The sequence below is a fragment of the Homo sapiens genome, chromosome 1, assembly GCF_000001405.40.
Source record: "Homo sapiens chromosome 1, GRCh38.p14 Primary Assembly".
In the NCBI taxonomy this organism is placed as follows: domain Eukaryota; kingdom Metazoa; phylum Chordata; class Mammalia; order Primates; family Hominidae; genus Homo; species Homo sapiens.
The window spans coordinates 8,417,211-8,435,687 of NC_000001.11; the positions used below are offsets into that span (position 1 = coordinate 8,417,211).

General features: G+C 45.1%; 1 protein-coding gene and 1 long non-coding RNA gene across 4 annotated transcripts in view, besides 3 other annotated features; one reads left to right on the plus strand and one right to left on the minus strand.

Moving 5' to 3' along the window:
* The window catches only part of RERE (arginine-glutamic acid dipeptide repeats), a 465,237-nt gene that overhangs the window by 64,807 nt on the left and 381,953 nt on the right, over positions 1–18,477 (minus strand). For 2 of the 3 annotated variants that reach the window (NM_001042681.2, NM_012102.4), the window contains one exon: positions 5,517–5,597. In NM_001042681.2, the coding sequence (NP_001036146.1) occupies positions 5,517–5,597 (81 nt within the window). Of the gene's footprint in view, positions 1–5,516; positions 5,598–6,350; positions 6,623–18,477 lie in introns of those variants that run through there. The other variant, NM_001042682.2, reaches the window with a different exon arrangement.
* Positions 6,235–6,574: a silencer, noted in NCBI's record as "silent region_195". NCBI's record gives its function as "represses an Ori minimal core promoter by ATAC-STARR-seq in GM12878 lymphoblastoid cells {active_cell/tissue: GM12878}" and the evidence as "EXISTENCE:reporter gene assay evidence [ECO:0000049][PMID:35858748]".
* Positions 6,885–7,024: a silencer, noted in NCBI's record as "silent region_196". NCBI's record gives its function as "represses an Ori minimal core promoter by ATAC-STARR-seq in GM12878 lymphoblastoid cells {active_cell/tissue: GM12878}" and the evidence as "EXISTENCE:reporter gene assay evidence [ECO:0000049][PMID:35858748]".
* RERE-AS1 (RERE antisense RNA 1) lies at positions 7,435–17,806 on the plus strand. The gene is made up of 4 exons (NR_125999.1): positions 7,435–7,491; positions 11,272–11,378; positions 12,617–12,762; positions 17,423–17,806. It is a non-coding gene; the product is annotated as an RERE antisense RNA 1 (long non-coding RNA).
* Positions 10,553–10,792: an enhancer, noted in NCBI's record as "active region_103". NCBI's record gives its function as "activates an Ori minimal core promoter by ATAC-STARR-seq in GM12878 lymphoblastoid cells {active_cell/tissue: GM12878}" and the evidence as "EXISTENCE:reporter gene assay evidence [ECO:0000049][PMID:35858748]".

Here is an 18,477-nt window from a genome sequence, read left to right on the forward strand (position 1 = left end):
AACCTCTTAATATTAACAGAAACCTGATTACTCAGTCTTAAAGCCCTTTCTCAATAGCATTTATTCTCTGCTGCAGGAATATGGTCTATGCAAATGACATTTTGCCTGAAGAAAAAAGTACAGTTAATGGCCAGTAGTTACGTACGTATTTAATAGAATTCATTCCCAGAAATGTGGCTAAGAAAGGTGGTTGATTTTCATGTTATTTATTAAATTAAAAATTTAAATCTCTAATACCTTTCATCCCATTACTTAAAGTTAAAAACGTCAAAACTGGCTGCCCTTTCACTGGGCCCTTGGTGCCAAACAGTGACACATTTCCAATAGAGAAAATGAAGATAGAAGGCAGGCTTCCCTTCCCATTAACTTTGAACTTTCAAGTCCCTATCTGTCTTCCTACAAGACTAAATTATAAGAAGAGCCTCCTCTTTGGTCCCATCCTATACATACTTCGGTAGCACAGCCCTCACTTCTCTTCTTAAAAGCCTTAAATGGGTCCCATCCCCACACTCACCCATACACATTCTTTGGAGGGAATTCAAGGTCCCCCAAAATCTACCCTGCAGCTATAATTTGGGCCCAAGTTCTACTGCATCCGCTTATGCAACCTCCTTTCCAACCATGCTCATGTACTTGCTGGGCACGTTTTACAATTTCCTGTCTCCGTGCCTTTGTTCATAGTATTTCCTATGGCTGGAAAGTTGCTTTTCCTCTACCCTCCCAACCTGGGCCTGTCAAAAATGAATCCTTCCTTCAAAGCCCAGTTCAAACACCGCCCCTCCAATTAGCTTTCCAGGAGCCTCTGTGCTCACTTTGTGGGGCCTGAACCTCCACCCACCAGGGCCCTCAGCACATTCTACCAAGTATGGCAGGTATGTAAATGTCGTGCTGGCTCCCTGCAGGGCAGGGATGGCACCTTGCTTCTCTTTATAGATACCCTACCCATTGCAGTGCTCAGTGGGCACCCAGAACTTTAAAAAATTGAACTATACACAAAATTTAGTTCTGATAATGGGAAGTGAATGAAAATGAGTTTCCAGTGTAGTAAGTGTCAATGCACCACCAACTGGGATTACAAATGACACAAGCTTAATCTTCACTGGGCTAGGTGCTCAAAAATAAAAAGAAAGAGACGAGAAAGACAGCCAAAGCATGTCCCCTTTCACCTTCCATCTCCCTCCAGGGGCTAACACTTTGGGAACACCTCTTGGCTACCAAGCTGGGGTAGATCACATTGTCTTCTCACCAATCTTAGTTGCACCAGAGACAAGCAACGGCAGGTCACTGAGGAAGCGCTCCTGGACTACGACCCAGTGCCAGCTGAATTTGTCTAAGTAATAGGAGACACAGCTATAAACAAAGGCCAGGATTCAAGGGACAATCATCCAGGTGCCAGACACAAAAAGTCTTTGGTTCAAATAACTGATATGTCCTCAGAGAAGAGATATGTCACCACTGCTTGAATAATTATCTCATGATTTTGAAGAAAACTGCAATGTATAGACAAATCAAACAAAAAATTATTTTTGGATCATCCACGATTTTGTGTTATTCCTAACATGGATTCACCTTTAGGTAATTAAGATTCTCTATTAGGCCTCCTACTTTTTCAGGCATTACCTTAACATCAAAGCTCATGTACCATCCATCTACCCAACAATAAGTGGCAGGGCTCAAAGCAGAATCAAGAGGCCTAGTTCTCCACTGTCCTCCCAAAAGTTCAGACACCGGGCGCTCTGTGACTTATACAAATATACTAACACTTAAGACTCTGATGTGGTTTATGACAAACAGTGGCTTGACAGAGAAGAGGTATACAGCCAAGGTGAATCTAAAATGCTCCACCCGTATTCCTGACTACATTTCACCTACTAATTATATACTTTATAAGCATATTGAGGGGAGGTAAATGGTTATAGAGAAACAGAGAATGGGAAAAAGTATAATAAACTACAGGATATTTGCACAACCATGACACTAAAAGATTTGACTTGTAGTTATTCTCTTGGGTACCCTGAGGTTAACACGTAATACCCATTCAACTAAGCCTCTATAAACAGTTGGGTTTTCCGCAATCACAGCCACTATTCCCACTTCAGTGGGCAGCAGTGTTCAGAGAAAAGCCAGATTTAGCTCTTGTGCAATAAACACCAGAAACCAAAAGAGCTAGGAAAGCTGTTTACGTCTATGCCCACCAGGAACCCTTCTCTGCTATAACCGCATGAATGAACTGGTAAGAATGAGGTCTCAACAAAGCTTCAAGACGGACGTTGTTAACTAGTTGCTGCCCTCCAAGTTTTTGGCAAGACAGATTAATGAAAAACAGGTAACTTATTTTTATACAGGCTCAGTATATTTACAAGCAGAAAGGAATTCTGTACTTTTCAAAGCATTTAGCTACCACCTTATGTAGTATTTAAGGTAGACAGGAAGAACAATCATTTCCAAGTATTTCTATGCACTCTTTACAAACATTATCTCATTTAAATTCTCAAAATAATCAAAAGGGTAGGAATTATCACCCCATTTTACAAACGCAGAAATTAAAGGACAGAGGGGATGAATAATCTGCCTAAGGTTCCAGAGCAAGTAAGTAGCAGAGAAGGCAAGAATCATCACTTCGTTCTCAGGCACTGCAGCAAGTAACGACGTACAGGCATTTTATAACGACCACAGCACCTACACAATTCTCATGCAGAGAAACACCATTTTACAGAAAATAACTTCCCAGTGTTGTCAAGATTTGACCTGAGCTTTCCAATGAACAGCTCAAGGCAGACTGCACAATTAAAAAGAGATCATCAAGTACTATAGTTACCAGTAAGGCCAAGAATAGAACACAGGTCTGCTGACCCTTGCACCAATGCCCAATCAGGCATGTTCTTTTGGATGCTGACACCCTTCTCAAGTTCCAAGTCACTTGCGAATAACAAAGAAATGAGTTAATAATTCTGGTAGACAGAAGAAAATGTAAGCCAGGCATGGTAGCGTGCACCTGTAATCCCAGCTATTCAGGGGAGGATCACTTGAGCCCAGGAGTTTGAGACCAGCCAGGGCAACAGAGTTAGATCTTGTCTCATTAAAAAAGAGAGAGAGAGAAAGAGAGAGAGAATGTGAAAAGTATCTATATTAGAGGGATTTGCTATCAAAAGGGGCATGACTATAAGAATTCTACCCAGCAAGTTCTGAATCAACAACACTGGTACATGCAAATCTCATCTTCTGCAGCAAAAAGTAAAAAATGACCTCTGCCCTCCCCTCCCTGTGGGCTGTGAATGATTAGCTTGGCTATGTTGATAACTAGAGAAAATAAGAAAACACAAGATGAGTGCCTCTCCCAGCTCATTATAATACTTACAGATTTACCCTACTACCAAACTCCTCCAGTGCAATGCAAAAGACAGCAAGGACACTATGAATATTTAGCAAATGTCAGGCATAATAAATCCTCCATTGCTGCAAACAACTCTCTCATTAGTTCCAATGATGGTGACTGATGAAGACTTTGGAAATAGGAAAACTGCTGGGTGCTAGAGAAGGGAGAAGAGCTACAGCGTGGGAAACTGTGAAGGCGGAGGAGTGATGGGGAAAGGTCTCAGCAAAGAGGCTAGTGGAAAAGACAACCAGAGAACTAGCTCAAAAGGTTGGTGTACTGAGAATGCCTCTGAAGGAGAAAAAAGGCTATTTATTTACGGAGTCACACATCATCAATAAGAAGGGAAAATCAAGAGCAAAAAGAAAAACATAGTAGAAGAACTTAACTAGGTTAAAGGTTACTCACATCTGCTTCCACTACGGAGATAAAACACTAAGTAAAATTACCGAGCATTTCCAAATGCCAGATGGTAGAATTTAGATTTAATGCTTAATCTTCCAATTATGAATTTATTTTTTAAAACTGAAAGATAAAATAATTGTCAAGATAGTTCTGTATCAAATTCTTCATGGTTTGCAACTTTTAGCAGAGCAGAGACAGAGAACTTGAGAGGCTACAATCTGAGCGATCAGGAGAAATCTACTCACTGATCTCTTTTTTACTCAGCCAAACCAAACTTCCTACACTCGGGCAAAGGCATTTTAATTTTTAATCATATCAAACTTCAAGTCACTGAAATCCCCAGAAAACTTAAAATATGTATCTCAATATTCCATATTAAATAACTCTACCCTGTTCTGGGAAGGGTAAGAAATAAGTTGATTATATAGATTGGCATCATAATACATCTTAGTTTAATGTTCATAAACAGGTTTCTCTCTCTCTGTTTTTTACCATTCTCAATATGATCCATCCTAGCATATGAGATGCGTAATACTTAAATTTAATTGTCATTGACTGATGCAAATCATCCATTTATATATACAAGACTATACTTGAAATCACAAAACCCTTCTTCCCCATGAGTTATCACTGTCCTTGAGGTACTATACAGTAAGTGTCCAGAAAAACAGCTCATTTTTAAAAAGACAGAATTAAACAAGAGGAAATCAGTAAACAACATCCAATTAAAAAATTAAGCCAAAAAACCCAAATTATCCGCATACTTTTATAGTAGATATTCTTGCATCCATCTCCCACCTCCACTCCCTAAAAAAGCAGCTCAATGTCTAGGCAGATTAAACATGGATCACTCCTCCCAAAGTCCTGAAGAGTGTTTCTGGTTAATGAGTCCTCCCTTCGCCTTCAGACAGTGGAGTGGCTGCTCCAACTCCATCCCATCTGCCCTATCCCGTGGCCTAGCCAGAGGGAAGACTCTCTCCCCATCTGCCTCTACACCACCAGGGAAGGAGATGAGGAGGGAGGCAACCACAGGGAAATGAGAATGAATCCCTTCCCCGCATTCTCTTCATATAATTTCACTCTGTATTTTCCTCAGCAAATCCTTCTACCTCACGTTTATCGGGCACATTTGTCAGCTCTGACCCCCAGCTTTGTGAAATACTAAGTAGTTTTTTGTAAAGCTCCATTTAAGCAATTTATAAGATCCCCTTGTACATCTGTCCAGTGGAAAGTGCAAACTCTCAGGGATAGAATATTAAAGAGTTAAAACTCCTCTTCAAAACAGAGCAACATTGAAAAATGGAAAAAATCCCCCAGAACTCAAAGTATAATAAGCCACAAACCTCTGGTTTGGTTGATGATTTCTGCCAATTACCAAATTCAAACTAGTGATAAAATGCTATTTCCTATTCCAGCCACTATGTTTAAAATTTGATGTTAACTCTCCAACAATCCTTCCCCCACAACTAACCCTCTGTTCCCAAAGACCTTTCTGTTCTCAGAGTTACAACAGAAGTCTATGTTCTCCAGGCGGATAAGCATAATCTGTCACTTTACTATCTAAAAATTATGAACTCAAATTAAAAGTCAAGGGAGTAAAACGGAGAGAATTCTGGAGGCCAGCCCGAGTCTGAGCACAGCGCAGGGTTAAAGGAAACCATTTCATAAGATCAAATGTGGAGAGGCAGCAGGAGCAAAGAGGAAAAAATCAAGTTACATAAAGTCCAATTGTACTCACTGTTTCCTTATTGGGAAGCAGCTCCTTTCTAATTCTGAAGAAGTTCTTCCCGTACTGCCTGAGTCCCTTAACGAAGCGTTTCTGTGATAAAAAGAAACAAATGGGATGTAAAAACCAAAAACAAAACAGGATGTCAGCAAAGCAAAGATATCTACAATCAGCAGAATAACAACCACAAAAAAAGTCTCGGCTAGGGAATACTGCCGAGGCTCGGAGAGTATGTCAGCAGCTCAGCTGGGACCCACTGGCCAGGGCAGGCCCCAGCTACCTTCATCAGAACCCCAATCCCACCCACCACGCAGGGCAGCGCGTTTAAGAGAAGGACGTCCTGCGTCTGAGGCTAAGAAGCAATCTGTCCCCCTCTTCCACCAGGCACACATTCTGGTGCACGAAGGTATAAATATGCTCCATGTTTTAATAAAACACAACTGCTTTCCCACCTGAGAACCAAGCTTCCCAGAAGTGTCGAGCAGAAAGGGGAAACAGAACCAAACCCGGTGACTCTTCTCCAGAAGGGAACCCTAGGGGGTTAAAAGGCCGCTTTCCTTAATCCAAAGAATTTGCCAGGAGGCACCGGAAGGCACCAGTATCACAGAAGCCCACCGGGAACACGAAAGCCAGCGGGCCTGCCCCACCGTCCGTCATTAAAAGCCACTCCGAGACACCAGAGAATAACCAGCACCCCTTCCGCCCTCCCGACGCCACTCGCCGCCCCCATCCATTTTCGCAGCAGACTCGTCCCTAACCCCAGCCCGGAGACTTTCACTTTGTCCCATGCCTCCCGAGCACCCCTCCCCGCCCCGGTGGGGGCAGCTCCTGGCTCCGAGCCCCCACCTCGGGGCTCCCAGCCTGGTCCCGGGCGGCCGACCCCAGCAGCCACAGGTAAGCGCCCGGGGTCCGGGGCGGCAAGAGGCCGTCGCCTGTCACTGGGCTCCGGCTCCACAAAGCGCAGGGCGGAGGCGGCCGCGGGTGGCTCGGCGTGTGACCGCGGCGGGGCCGCGCGGCGCGGGGCCCGGGGGGCGCGGGGCTGGGGCCGCCGCTGACGGGGGAGGAGGCAGGAGCGCGGCGCGCAGAGCCCGGCGCGGCCGCGGGCGGCTGCAAAAGGCGGCCTGGATTGCCGCCGCCCTCCTGTCCGCCAGCCGGGGCCCCGCGCCCCGGCCCCGGCCCCGCCCCCGGCCCGACCCCCACCCCGAGGCCGGAGCCTCCAGGGCACCCGGCGCTGGAATCTGTGTCCTCCTTCCGGACAGGAGAACATCAAGGCGGTAAAGCACAGAAACTTCCTCCCTACCGCAGCAAGCGTGGGGAGAGGGCGCCCACAGGGCTGGGGCCCTTCCCAGGCTGCTGGGTCTCCAGCCCACGTTCCGGATGGACGAAGTCGGCTGCGCCCCGGCCGCACGCCCTCCGCCCCAACCCCGCCTCAGCTGCGAAACGGGGGGCTGGCCCCGACGCCCCCCGCGGTCCCTTCCGGCCCGCGATTGTGGGCGGCCTCTCCCTGGCGGCCCAGGCATTAGCCTGCACTTCCCCGGCCGCCGCTTCACAACTAAATCACCGCGGAAGCTTCCCAGCCAATAAATCACCTGCCCACCGGGCAGAGGGTCCCTCCCACTCCCTGTGTTTGAGACCCGCCAGGCGGATTCAGTGAAGGGCCAGACTTAGCCTTTTAAGACCAGTCTGCAACCTCCTACTCCAGTAGTGGAGGCTTTGCGTTTTTGAATTTCACCCTTGCTGAGATATGACTCATCATTGTCAATTTTCAATATAATTCATACAGTTCGAAGGGAAAATCTCTCAAGGCACAAGAAAGCAGCAAGCTCTCCTCTAGTGTGAGGAGTGACCTTTGTTACTTGACAAAAGTATCGTTTATATGATCAACAGGCATCCTACGCTGTGTGCACACAGCATATCACCGGGAGAGACGGCACGGAAAGATGGCCCTGCCCTCAAGGAGCTGCAGTCTGCCCAGGAAGGCAGACAGGTAAACAAACCAGTCCTAGGGCCTGCAAGAAAAGCAGCAGAGGAACAAAGGGTGGTGGGTGAAGCTAGGAAGAGGAAGCAACTTACTCTGCTTGCTGATGTCTTAGAGGAAGTGACAAGGAAGAGTGTGAGCCTGCCAGGTGGGCTCCAGCAGGGCTTCCAGCAGAAGTCAGCCAGGAAAAGGCACAGGGAACATTCTGGGAACTGCAAGGAGGACAGGGTGTGCAGAATGGAGTGCCAGCAGATAAGACGAAAGAGGCAGGCAAGGATCCGGTTGCAGAGAGCCCTTCAGGCCGCACGGAAGAGTTCCTAATTGTAGGCTGGCAGAAAGGCTGAAGCTGGAGCTTTCCATGAAAAGACTGGATGAGGACTGTGCCAGTGGCAGTGTGGCCTAAGTGTAGATTAGGGACAGACCAGTTAAAGAGGCTGCTGACACAGTTCAGGTATGAGATGAGGACCTCAACTACTGGCACACTCCACCTCAGTAATCAGAATTCCTGCCGCTTAATCCATTCTTCAAGTATTCAGGTATTTACTGAGCACCTAGCTGAGAGGGGTCTAGGAAGATAATAAAGGTTGCCATGGACCTTTACTGAACTGTGATTCATTTTTGCACGTAAGATAAGTATGTGTGAAGTCATTACAGAACATTCTGAGATGTCATCTGGCCAAGCATAAAGAAGTGAGGTGCAGCTCATCAGTGCAGCAAGGGACCCAAGAAGGCTAGACTGCAGTGGTCTGTAGTAGTTCAGAATGCCTTCGCCAAGGCAGTGACATCAGCGAGATCACAAGGGGTGGGCAACTATTGCAGGGGTGGGAGGTGGCTTGGTGACCGGGCCCTCCGTGAAGGTCAGAGGTGGAGAATGGGAGGTGGGTTACAGGGGACAGTCTACACAGACTTGGGGCGGGCAATCTGGAGTGAGCCAGGCTGTGGAACGCCAGGACCATGCAATCGGAACGTGGGCTTGATACCAAGTGACATCTAACAGGTCCAGTAAAAGAGGCCTACACAATAAAGGCAGCATGTGAGAAAGGCTGACTCTGGAACATCAGGGTAAGGTGGCAGAGTTGGACAAACAAATTCAGATCCTGTTTCTTCCATTTATTGTGATGCAATCCTTTGAACATCATCCATTCAACCAATAGTTACTAAGTACCTACTATATGCCAGGAGCCTCATATATATTAATTCGAAATCTTTACAACCTAAGAAGAAGTACAATTATTATCCCCATTTTACAGACAAGGAAGCTGAGGCACAGATAGGTAACTAGATCAACTCCTCAGAGACAAAGCCAGAATTCAAACTTAAGCCCCCTCAAATCCTCAGAGCCACACTCTGTAAAATGCAGGCAGGCGTCTACAGTGGTAACTATTTTCTGTTACCATTTTCTATGAGTCTGTACTTTCCTCTTCTCGGGTCCAATGTCAAATCATAAAGTCCTCAGTATTCTTCCTAAGAAGTGTCTTTCAGCCGGGCGCGGTGGCTCATGCCTGTAATCCTAGCACTTTGGGAGGCTGAGGCGGGCAGACCACAAGGCCAGGAGATCGAGACCATCCTGGCTAACACAGTGAAACCCCGTCTCTACTAAAAATACAAAAAATTAGCTGGGCATGGTGGTGGGCGCCTGTAGTCCCAGCTACTGGGGAGGCTGAGGCAGGAGAATGGCGTCAACCCGGGAGGCGCAGCTTGCAGTGAGCCGAAATTGCGCCACTGCACTCCAGCCTGGGCGACAGAGACTCTGTCTCAAAAAAAAAAAAAAAAAAAGTGTCTTTCAACGCCCTCCTTTCCTGCTCATGCTAGTGGCAGTCCCAGGCCAGACCTTTATCTCTCTTTCCTAATAACTAGGCTATTAACCATCTCCCCCATCCAGCCATTTAAAAGCCTCTGCCAAGGAATTTTTCCCAACTATAGATTTCATCCTGAGTCCCACTTTATCTGGCCCTTAGCCCCTACCTAAGAACAGCATGGTGGTCTCTGCAGGACAGTGTTTACACTCCTTAGCCCTGAATTCAAGGCCCTCCAGGATCCTGGCCCTGCCCACCTTTCCAGCCAGATGTCCAGTAATGCCAACTGGCCCACACTGGGGGACCTCTGTCTCAACTCCAGAATCTGGGTAAGGCATCTCCACGTTCACCTCAAAATCTCTCCTACTCCCAAATGAAACCAGATGTCCAGTTACTCTCTCATTAGTTTATTTATTTGTATAAGGCCTGCTTACCCAAAAAGTCCATAAACTCTTAAAATAATTACATCTTACACCTAGTGCCTCCATATAACACTAGGCAGTTGATGCTCACCACATTTTTTGTCTCCTTTAAAAATTATTTATTTATTAACGATGAGGTCTCACTATATTGCCCAGGCTGGTCTCAAACTCCTGGCCTCAAGCAATCCTCCCGCTTTGACCTCCCAAAGTGTTGAGATTACAGGTGTGAGTCACCGCACCCGGACAAGTGAAACCAACCATGAGATGCTGAGGGCCTGGGCTAGGGTGGTCACAGTGGAAATGGACTGTTGAAAGCCAGAAGGTCCATTTTGAACTCTCCTAACAGAGCTGACCTCTTGCTCCATGATGCCAAACTCTCCTAGTTTTGCTCATACCACTTGGCCTAATTCTCTACTCAACCTCTAAATGCTGGAGTCTCCCCAAAGCTTTGTCCTAGGGCTTTCTGCTATATATATCCTCTCCCCATATGATCTCCACTGTTCCCTTGGCTCTAAATATCTTTCGAGATTGTCACTGGTATTTCTAAGACTAAATCTATGGTCCAAGTCCACTGGGAACACTCAACTTGAACGTTTCACAGGTATCTCAAACTAATTACTTCCAGAAATAGGAATTTGACATCTGGTGGTGAACACAGACCTACCACAGCTGTCAATGTATGTCAATATAATGCTATCAAGAGCAAAAGCACCCTTGGCCCCACTTTAAAAAAAAAAAAAAAAAAAAAAGGAAGTAAAAGCTTCATGTGGCCTGTACTGTTACTTCTCTATGGAAAGCCACAAGGCCTCAAAACCAGCAAAACATCTGCTTCTCAGAGACCAGCCTTTAGCTTGTGGTTTACCAGAAATGTAGAGTAGCCCTGAAAATCGAAACAAAGACGACCACTCACAGTAGTCAATGATTGGAAGGGGTCACACGTGAAAGAGACTTCTGTTGCGGCTGTCTCCTTTCCCTCTATAAATTCATCGCTCTTCAAATGAAGACCCCGAAGTTTTTAAGACTTTAACAATTAACACTATTGACTTATAAATCAACAGGCCCTATAAGCCTCTAAATGCAAGTTCATGGAGACAGTCTGTTTCTTAAGAGTCTTCTAGTTGTTGAGCTGAAATTCGGCATTTCCAGTGCTGAAATTCAAGGTCTCATGAATTATTTCTGTGTCCATTAGTTTTTCTATCACTCCCAGTGTATAGATATTAGAATAGCAGGATGCCAAGGGTAAAGGAGGAAGGAAATATAGAAGGCAAGTCACTGACTTGGCCACTGCTGCCAGCGCTGGGCAGCTCTGCTGTTTATGCTCCCCAGCTCATAGCCTGCCCACTCTCAGACGCACGAACTGAGCGTCTTGAGATGTTGGCACTTGTTTCTCTGGTGTGTTCATGCCCAACCAACCCAACTAGGTGCTGCTCCTTGGAAACATAAAACAAGTCCTTTTCTGTTTGTGTACCCCCATAGCCAGGTGAGATCCAAATATAAATAAATATTTATGGCAAGGAGATTGTTGCTTTGTGTTACAACTTACGTTTATGATTTTGTGCTCTAATTTTTAGATAAACTGCTATAGTTTTCCACTATTGAGCTGAATTTCGTATCACCATCAAAAGTTACCTACCTACAAGTCCCTAGTAGAGAAAATTTAACTTCTGGCTTTAAAAAAGTAAGTTACCTGAACCCAGCATTACTAGCCTTGGGTTTTAATAGAACCTGGAAAGCTCTGTTTTGCATTTTCGCTACAGTGGAAAGAACGCAAGGTTCAGACTTGGAAGCCATGTGATCTAGTCTGCTCCTATGTTCCAAAAAGGAAATTCTGACATGGCTGTTTAGACCTAGCCACTTTAGAAACAGCTATATTGGAATAAAAATAACAATAACATAAAAATAAAAATAACCACGTCAAAATGCATTAAATTAATGTGTTCAAAAGTTCCTCATGCTATTGCTTGAGCCCACCCCCTGTCATAGTCCCCCAAGCCTTGTGCCTCAGCCTCACTGGTCTGCCTAGATACTGGTCCTCACCTCTCCACCTTTGGGATGGCACGTGGACCTGGTGCAAGTAGCATCACCATTAACCTACTGATGAGTACAAACGGCATTGATTTTTACATGCGTCATGGTATGAGAAAGGCAGGGAAACACCACCCTAGAACAATAAAAATGGTGAACACTGAGCGCTATAACGTGCCAGCCACTGTCTTAAAGGCTCTAATGCACTAGCTCATTTAATCATCACAACAACCTTATGAGGCAGAGGCTACTGCTATTCCCATCTTTTAGGTGGGAAAAGTAACCATGTATCACTAAATCCTTGAACCAGGCTGGGAGGGTCAAGGGGGACCAGTGTAAAAAATTGGGAAGCCTCAGAGCTGTGGTGGGCCTAGGAATGGAGCCGAGGGTGCAGACAAGGGATGTGATGATGTGGCTGCTGCCTGTGTTTGCATCCCAAGATATTGTTTCCCAAAAATTCTATGTGTGGATAGAGAATACTGGGCTGAGAGTAAACCCTGAAAGGGTAAGGTGTGCAAATTCCCCTCATCTACACATGAAACTCCCAGCACATCTCATTCTGGCGTCATCCCAGGTGCTGGACCTGACCCCTATCTGCAGTAGCAAGAGAGCAGAAGACAGGGGCTAAGCTACAAAAATGGCTAAAAGATACCTCTGCATTAACCCCTGGCTGAGAGCTTTCAAAATTAACTCCCTCTGGTGAATTTTAACTAGTGTATCACAGTCAGAAACTCACCATGACTTCTGAAAAGGGACATCTACTCAGTCCTCTTACATAACTGTTTGGAAAACACTGTAGGTATTAAAATGATTCCCACTGTGAAAATGGCTCCTTCTGTTTTACCCTGATTTCTGCACAAAATTTTATGTTAATAATTTATTGGTTCACAGGGGACAGAAAAGCAGGCAGATCTGCTAGTAAGCAAACTACAGCTCCCCCGAGGAGACACACAGGCAGTGGGTAAGAGGAACAGACCCATGGCTCCACTGAAGACACAGAGCAGCAGACGAAAAAGACATGTCCTAAATGTTAAATGGTAAGGAGGGGTAGGGTGAAAAAAGGGAACATGGATGCCAGGCAGAAGAAATAAAAGCCTTTCCAAACATTTGTATTACATGATGCTGGCTCTCACTGATAAACCACTGGATGAGAACTGTACTTCATCCATATCATCCTGTTGGTTGCAGATCCCGTCACCCCATATCTAAAACATATTTCCTTCTGGAGCTTTACTGTTGATACTGCTTTGAGATGTATCATTTGGTTTTGGTTTTACATATTTAACATTTTAATGAAAGGGTGACTTGAGTAAGGCACTACTTTTTCAATAAATAGCAACAGAACCAATTTGCCTGGGAGGAGACCTGCCAGCAAGCCATGAGGGGCATTTCCAAAATTTCCAGTATAGGCTGCTCCCAATTTCTGCCTCCACTTTAAAAACACTTTGCACTTACTAGTGTTATTCCAGGAGAGCCAGTTAATAGTTTAATGAAACTAGTTAGAGTTTAAAGGCAGCAAATGGGATAATTTAAAATAATCATCCCATTTTTATTGATGGTTCTCAAATCTCTCTCCAGATCTGACATTTTGCCCTAGCTCAGACTTGTACCTACACTTTCTATTCAGACTAACGTCCTCCATAGTTTTAGGACATCACCATCCCAACTTGGGCACTGACAGCCCACAGGCCACATCCTCCTCAAGTAGCAACTCATGAACCCAGAGAACTGACTGAAATAGTTCAGTGTTTCTTGAGCTCCCCAAGGCCTTCAGGCTTCTGTGCAGAGTGGAAGTGGTAGTGGTAGTGGCACAAGTATGCTAATTGCCACAGTACACTCTCCAAGGTAAGTGTAACCGGGCCCATTCTACAGATAAACTAAAGGTTAGGTAAATTAAATCTCCTGGCCCATCCACATCTAATCATCATCAGGGCCAGGATTCAAGTCCAGTTCTAACAACAAAAGCCATGCCAATGGTAACAGAGTGCGTGTGAGCTGCTAAGTACTTCTGTGTATTAACTCATGCCATTAAAGTCCGTAGATGCCATAGGGTGACCCAGAGCCACACTGGGTAGGCCCCTCCAGGCATTCCTTTGTCTTCCAAATACCAACTGAGGTGCAGGCTTATTACCCTTACGTTACTACTGGCACAAGTAAAACTTCTTCCTGCATATACCTTAAGACGGGGGTCTCCAGTCCCCAGGGTACAAACCACTACCAGCCTGTTAGGAACTGGGCCACAAAGCAGGAAGTGAGCGGCAGGCAAGTGAGCAAAGCTTCATCTGTATTTACAGATGCTCCCCCTGGCTTGCATTACCGCCTGAGCTCTACCTCCTGTCACATCAGCAGCGGCATTAGATTTTCATAGGACCACGAATCCTATTGTGAACTGCGCATGTGAGGGATCTGGGTTGCGTGCTTCTTTTGAGAATCTAATGTCTGATGATCTGTCACTGTTTTCCATCACCCTCAGGTGGGACTGTCCAGTTGCAGGAAAACAAGCTCAGGGCTCCTACTGATTCTACATTATAGGGAGTTGTATAATTAATTCATTACATATTACAATGTAATAATAATAGAAATAAAGTGCACAATAAATGTAATGCGCTTGAATCATCCTGAAACCATCCTTCCCCTCAGCCCATGGAAAAGCTGTCTTCCACAAAGCTGGTCCCTGGTTCCAAAAAGGTTGGGGACCTCTGCTGTATACCACTGTAGTCTTATAAACACTGTTTACTTAATTAACCTAAACATTTAAAATGTTTCCTTTCTTCAATAATAAATTAACCTTAGCTTACTGTAACTTTTTTCACTTTATAAAGTTTAAAATTAACCTCATGGGCCTAGCACCTCAAATCTCCCCCGCTTCTCTCTCCCCAAGCCAGCTTGCCCTCTCTTAGCTCCCTGTGGCCCTATTTCTGTCAGCTGCAGCAGAGTTCTAGAAGAAGTGCCTGGCGTGCTCTCTGTCCATTCCCACTCCTTCCATCAGTCACCATGCCCTCTAGATTCATTCTTCACTTCATGGAGTTTCCTGTTCGGCATGCTCCTCGGTTTTTGCAAGGGCTCTGCCAACTACAGGGCCACGTCATGCCAGTGACTGCACTGGTCTCCTCCCTGGCCTCAGTGTGTCTCCACACCCCTCCCCCCAACATTCCAGTTCTGGGCATTCTGTATATTAATGTGTTCTCTTATTTGAAGACCTGTGACAATTCCTAGTACGTCCAAACTATCGGTCTGCTAGTTAGTTAACAGCCTCCACAATTGGGTTCCCAATCACCTACACCACCATGTAGTGAAGTTAGTTACTGCAGTACCCCATCCTGATTCCTTTCCCTGGGTTTTTACCAATGCCTTTCTCTCTTACCCAATCTAGAATGTCCCCTCTTCACTTCTGCTTATTCAAACACATCAACTCAACTAACATTCATTGAGCCCTCATTCTAGTGAACACACTGTGCAAAGAGCACAGCACGAGGCACTGAGTGAACAAGGAGCACAGCACGAGGCACTGAGTGAACAAGGAGCACAGCACGAGGCACTGTGCGAAGCATGTTCCAGTTTCAACTCTATCCCTACACAGAGTCCGCTCTGCTCTCTCTCCCTTCTCTGAAAAACAACAATTCCTGTTTATGACTAGAATTAATAAGCACTTCTGCCATTAAAAGGTCTATAGATCTTCCACCAAATTGTGGATTCCTTTCCAGCAAGAGGTGAGTATTTCATGTCTTGTGTAATCTTCAGAGTGCCTGGCAAACTGTAACCAAGCAATATGATAACTGTTGGGTGGCTGCATGGGTATTGTTTTTGGTCCTAGAGTTCTCCCTGAAACATAATACATGTTTGGTAGGATGGAAACAAAATTTCTAATCAATGTTAGATTTGTTTCTTTTTTTCCAAGAAGAATGGAGAAGTAAATCATATTTTAAAATGGGATTGATTACTTGGACTCTCAGTGCAGAAAACACTGTTTTATATCTATTCATCTCAGAGGAATAAAGGGTGTGATACTTCTTAAGGTACTTCTTAAGATACTTTAAAGGAAAGTTTACATATATATACACATATACATATACATATACCCAAACTTAAACTCTTGAAATAAAAGCACATGTCGGAGATTATATGCTGTATGCTGGATATCCATGAGGAAAATTTTCCCACAAACAACCTGGCATGGTTCAGTAACTAAATAACTACATCCCCCGTACTGGTAACTAGCCCTATCTCAGGACTACTGTGTTCCTGGGTGCAAGATGGGTGTCTAGGCCTCCACCATCTTCAAAGCCTCAATTTCTATGTCCCTGGTTCTCTTAACAATGGAACAGTCGTAAAGCAGGGTAGCCTCTTGGTCCTACAAAGAGACAAGAGGAGGACTCAACTATTTCCAAAAAGACATCTTGTCTTGCATGCTATGTTTTGTCAACTGTCTTAAATACCTTTAATATCTAATAACACCACTTCCACTTGGTTCTCCCTCTCTGGACATGTGTCTTTGAAATAAATCCTAGTTTCAGCACACACAAAAAAGACCTGTTTCCCAGGCTAGTCCCAGAAGATTCTATGGTAATTACAACAGGATCCCAAATCCAAGCCCTCTGAGTAACAGTCCATTCATTTCTTTTTTTTTTTTTTTTTTGAGACGGAGTCTCGCTCTGTCGCCCAGGTCGGACTGCGGACTGCAGTGGCGCAATCTCGGCTCACTGCAAGCTCCGCTTCCCGGGTTCACGCCATTCTCCTGCCTCAGCCTCCCGAGTAGCTGGGACTACAGGCGCCCGCCACCGCGCCCGGCTAATTTTTTGTATTTTTAGTAGAGACGGGGTTTCACCTTGTTAGCCAGGATGGTCTCGATCTCCTGACCTCATGATCCACCCGCCTCGGCCTCCCAAAGTGCTGGGATTACAGGCGTGAGCCACCGCGCCCGGCCCCATTCATTTCTAAAAGAAGTCCTCTCTAGGGTCAAATATGGCAGCTGTTTAGCTGACACAGAGGAGTAATACCAAAGAGTTCTCTTTTCTGTTTCCTTTCTTTTCCTCTTTTTCCTAATCTTCCAAAGGCCAAAGAGAATGAGAAGGAGCACTTGGGAAGGTAGATCTAATATAATCCTGCCTGGCTGTTCTACCCTCCTCAGTTCATGAGTATCATGATAATGGACAGCTCCTGGTTTAAATCATTGTTTTATTCCATCACCCCACCACTAGCAACCCCCAGTTAAGATTAGCTATAGAAACATAACACAAAGGGTGACTGAAGCGCCAGGTCTTTCAGTGTGTGAGGCCAGCAAGAGTCCAACAGCCCCTCAATGTCCCAGCTGACTCTTCTGATGATATGCTCAGAAATGTCTACAGAAGCTGAGCAGCTGCCAGCTCAACACACCCTGCCACACCTGCGCTATCGGTGGAATCAGAGAATGAGAAAGCTAGAAAGAAGCTTTAGAGAACTACGCTGGTTGAAACCCTCATATTACTGATGAGGACCATAAATCATTTAACTGAAATTAAACCAACAAATCAAACCACACATACCCACAAAATCTTTACATTTGTGACAAACTATATTTTCTAGAGGTGGCCACTCCAATACAGATTCCATCCCACATGCTCTAACAATGTGATAATGACACTCCTTCATTGACAGGTGGGTCTCTCTGTTCTCTCCTCCTGAGCCTGGGTAGACCTTTGTAACTGTCTTGACCAACAGAATGTGACAGAATGATACCAGGTGACTTCTAAGACTACATCATACAAAGCAACACAGCTTCTGCTGGGCTCTCCCTCTCTGGACACGTGTCTTTGAAGCCCTGAGCTGCCAGATTAAACAGTCCGGCTTGCCTAAAGTCACCACGCTGGAGAGACCATCAGGGATGGAGAGGTGCTACAGAAACCCTAGCTATTCTAGTCCCCAGCCATTTGAGTCTTCCTAGCCCAGACTCATAAGTGAAGAAACCTTCAAGATGATTCCAATACCTCCTATCACTTGACTGCAACCTCGTGAAAGCCTAAGCCAGACCTGCACGGTGGAGCCATTCCTAAATTCTGGTCCCACAGAAACTGTGAAAGATAATAAATGATCATCATTGCTTTACATTGGGCTAATTTTTATTATCAGGGGTAACGTGTTACATAGCGATAGGCAACTAATACAAGATTCATTACTAAAACCACTAAAAACTTTAACCTGTTAGTCACTATTAATTTAAGCAAACAAATAAGCAATCTTCCAATGATGCTTCCCCAATTTGCATGCCTCTCTATAACCTTACTCTGCCTTCATTTTAAGGCCTAGCTCTTATCACCATATGTGATATGATTAGATAACACGATATAGGCTACGTTACTGAATATATGAGGAAAGGGCCTTTGTTTTGTTCACTATTATATCCCCAGCACCTAGAACAGCACTTGACAACATATAGCAGGTGCTTGACAACCACTGGTTCAGTACAAGAATGTATCTGGAGATGATTGGGCTTAGTGTTCCTCCAAGGCTATTTGACCTCTCATCACCTGTTCTCCAGTTTGACTCAACGTCTCTTAATATATATTCACTGCACTGTTAAGTTTCTAACTCTCTAACTACTACTGACAAAACCATTAGATGTTCTTCGTTCAAACCCACTAGAGGAACTACACCATCCCCTCCGTGATGCCAGCTCAGCATCCAGAGTAGAGCCAGTGATTTCCTTTGTCAACACACCTGCATGCCAAAAACCCTTCCCAGGAGGTCTCAAATATCAAATAAAAGTTACTCCATTT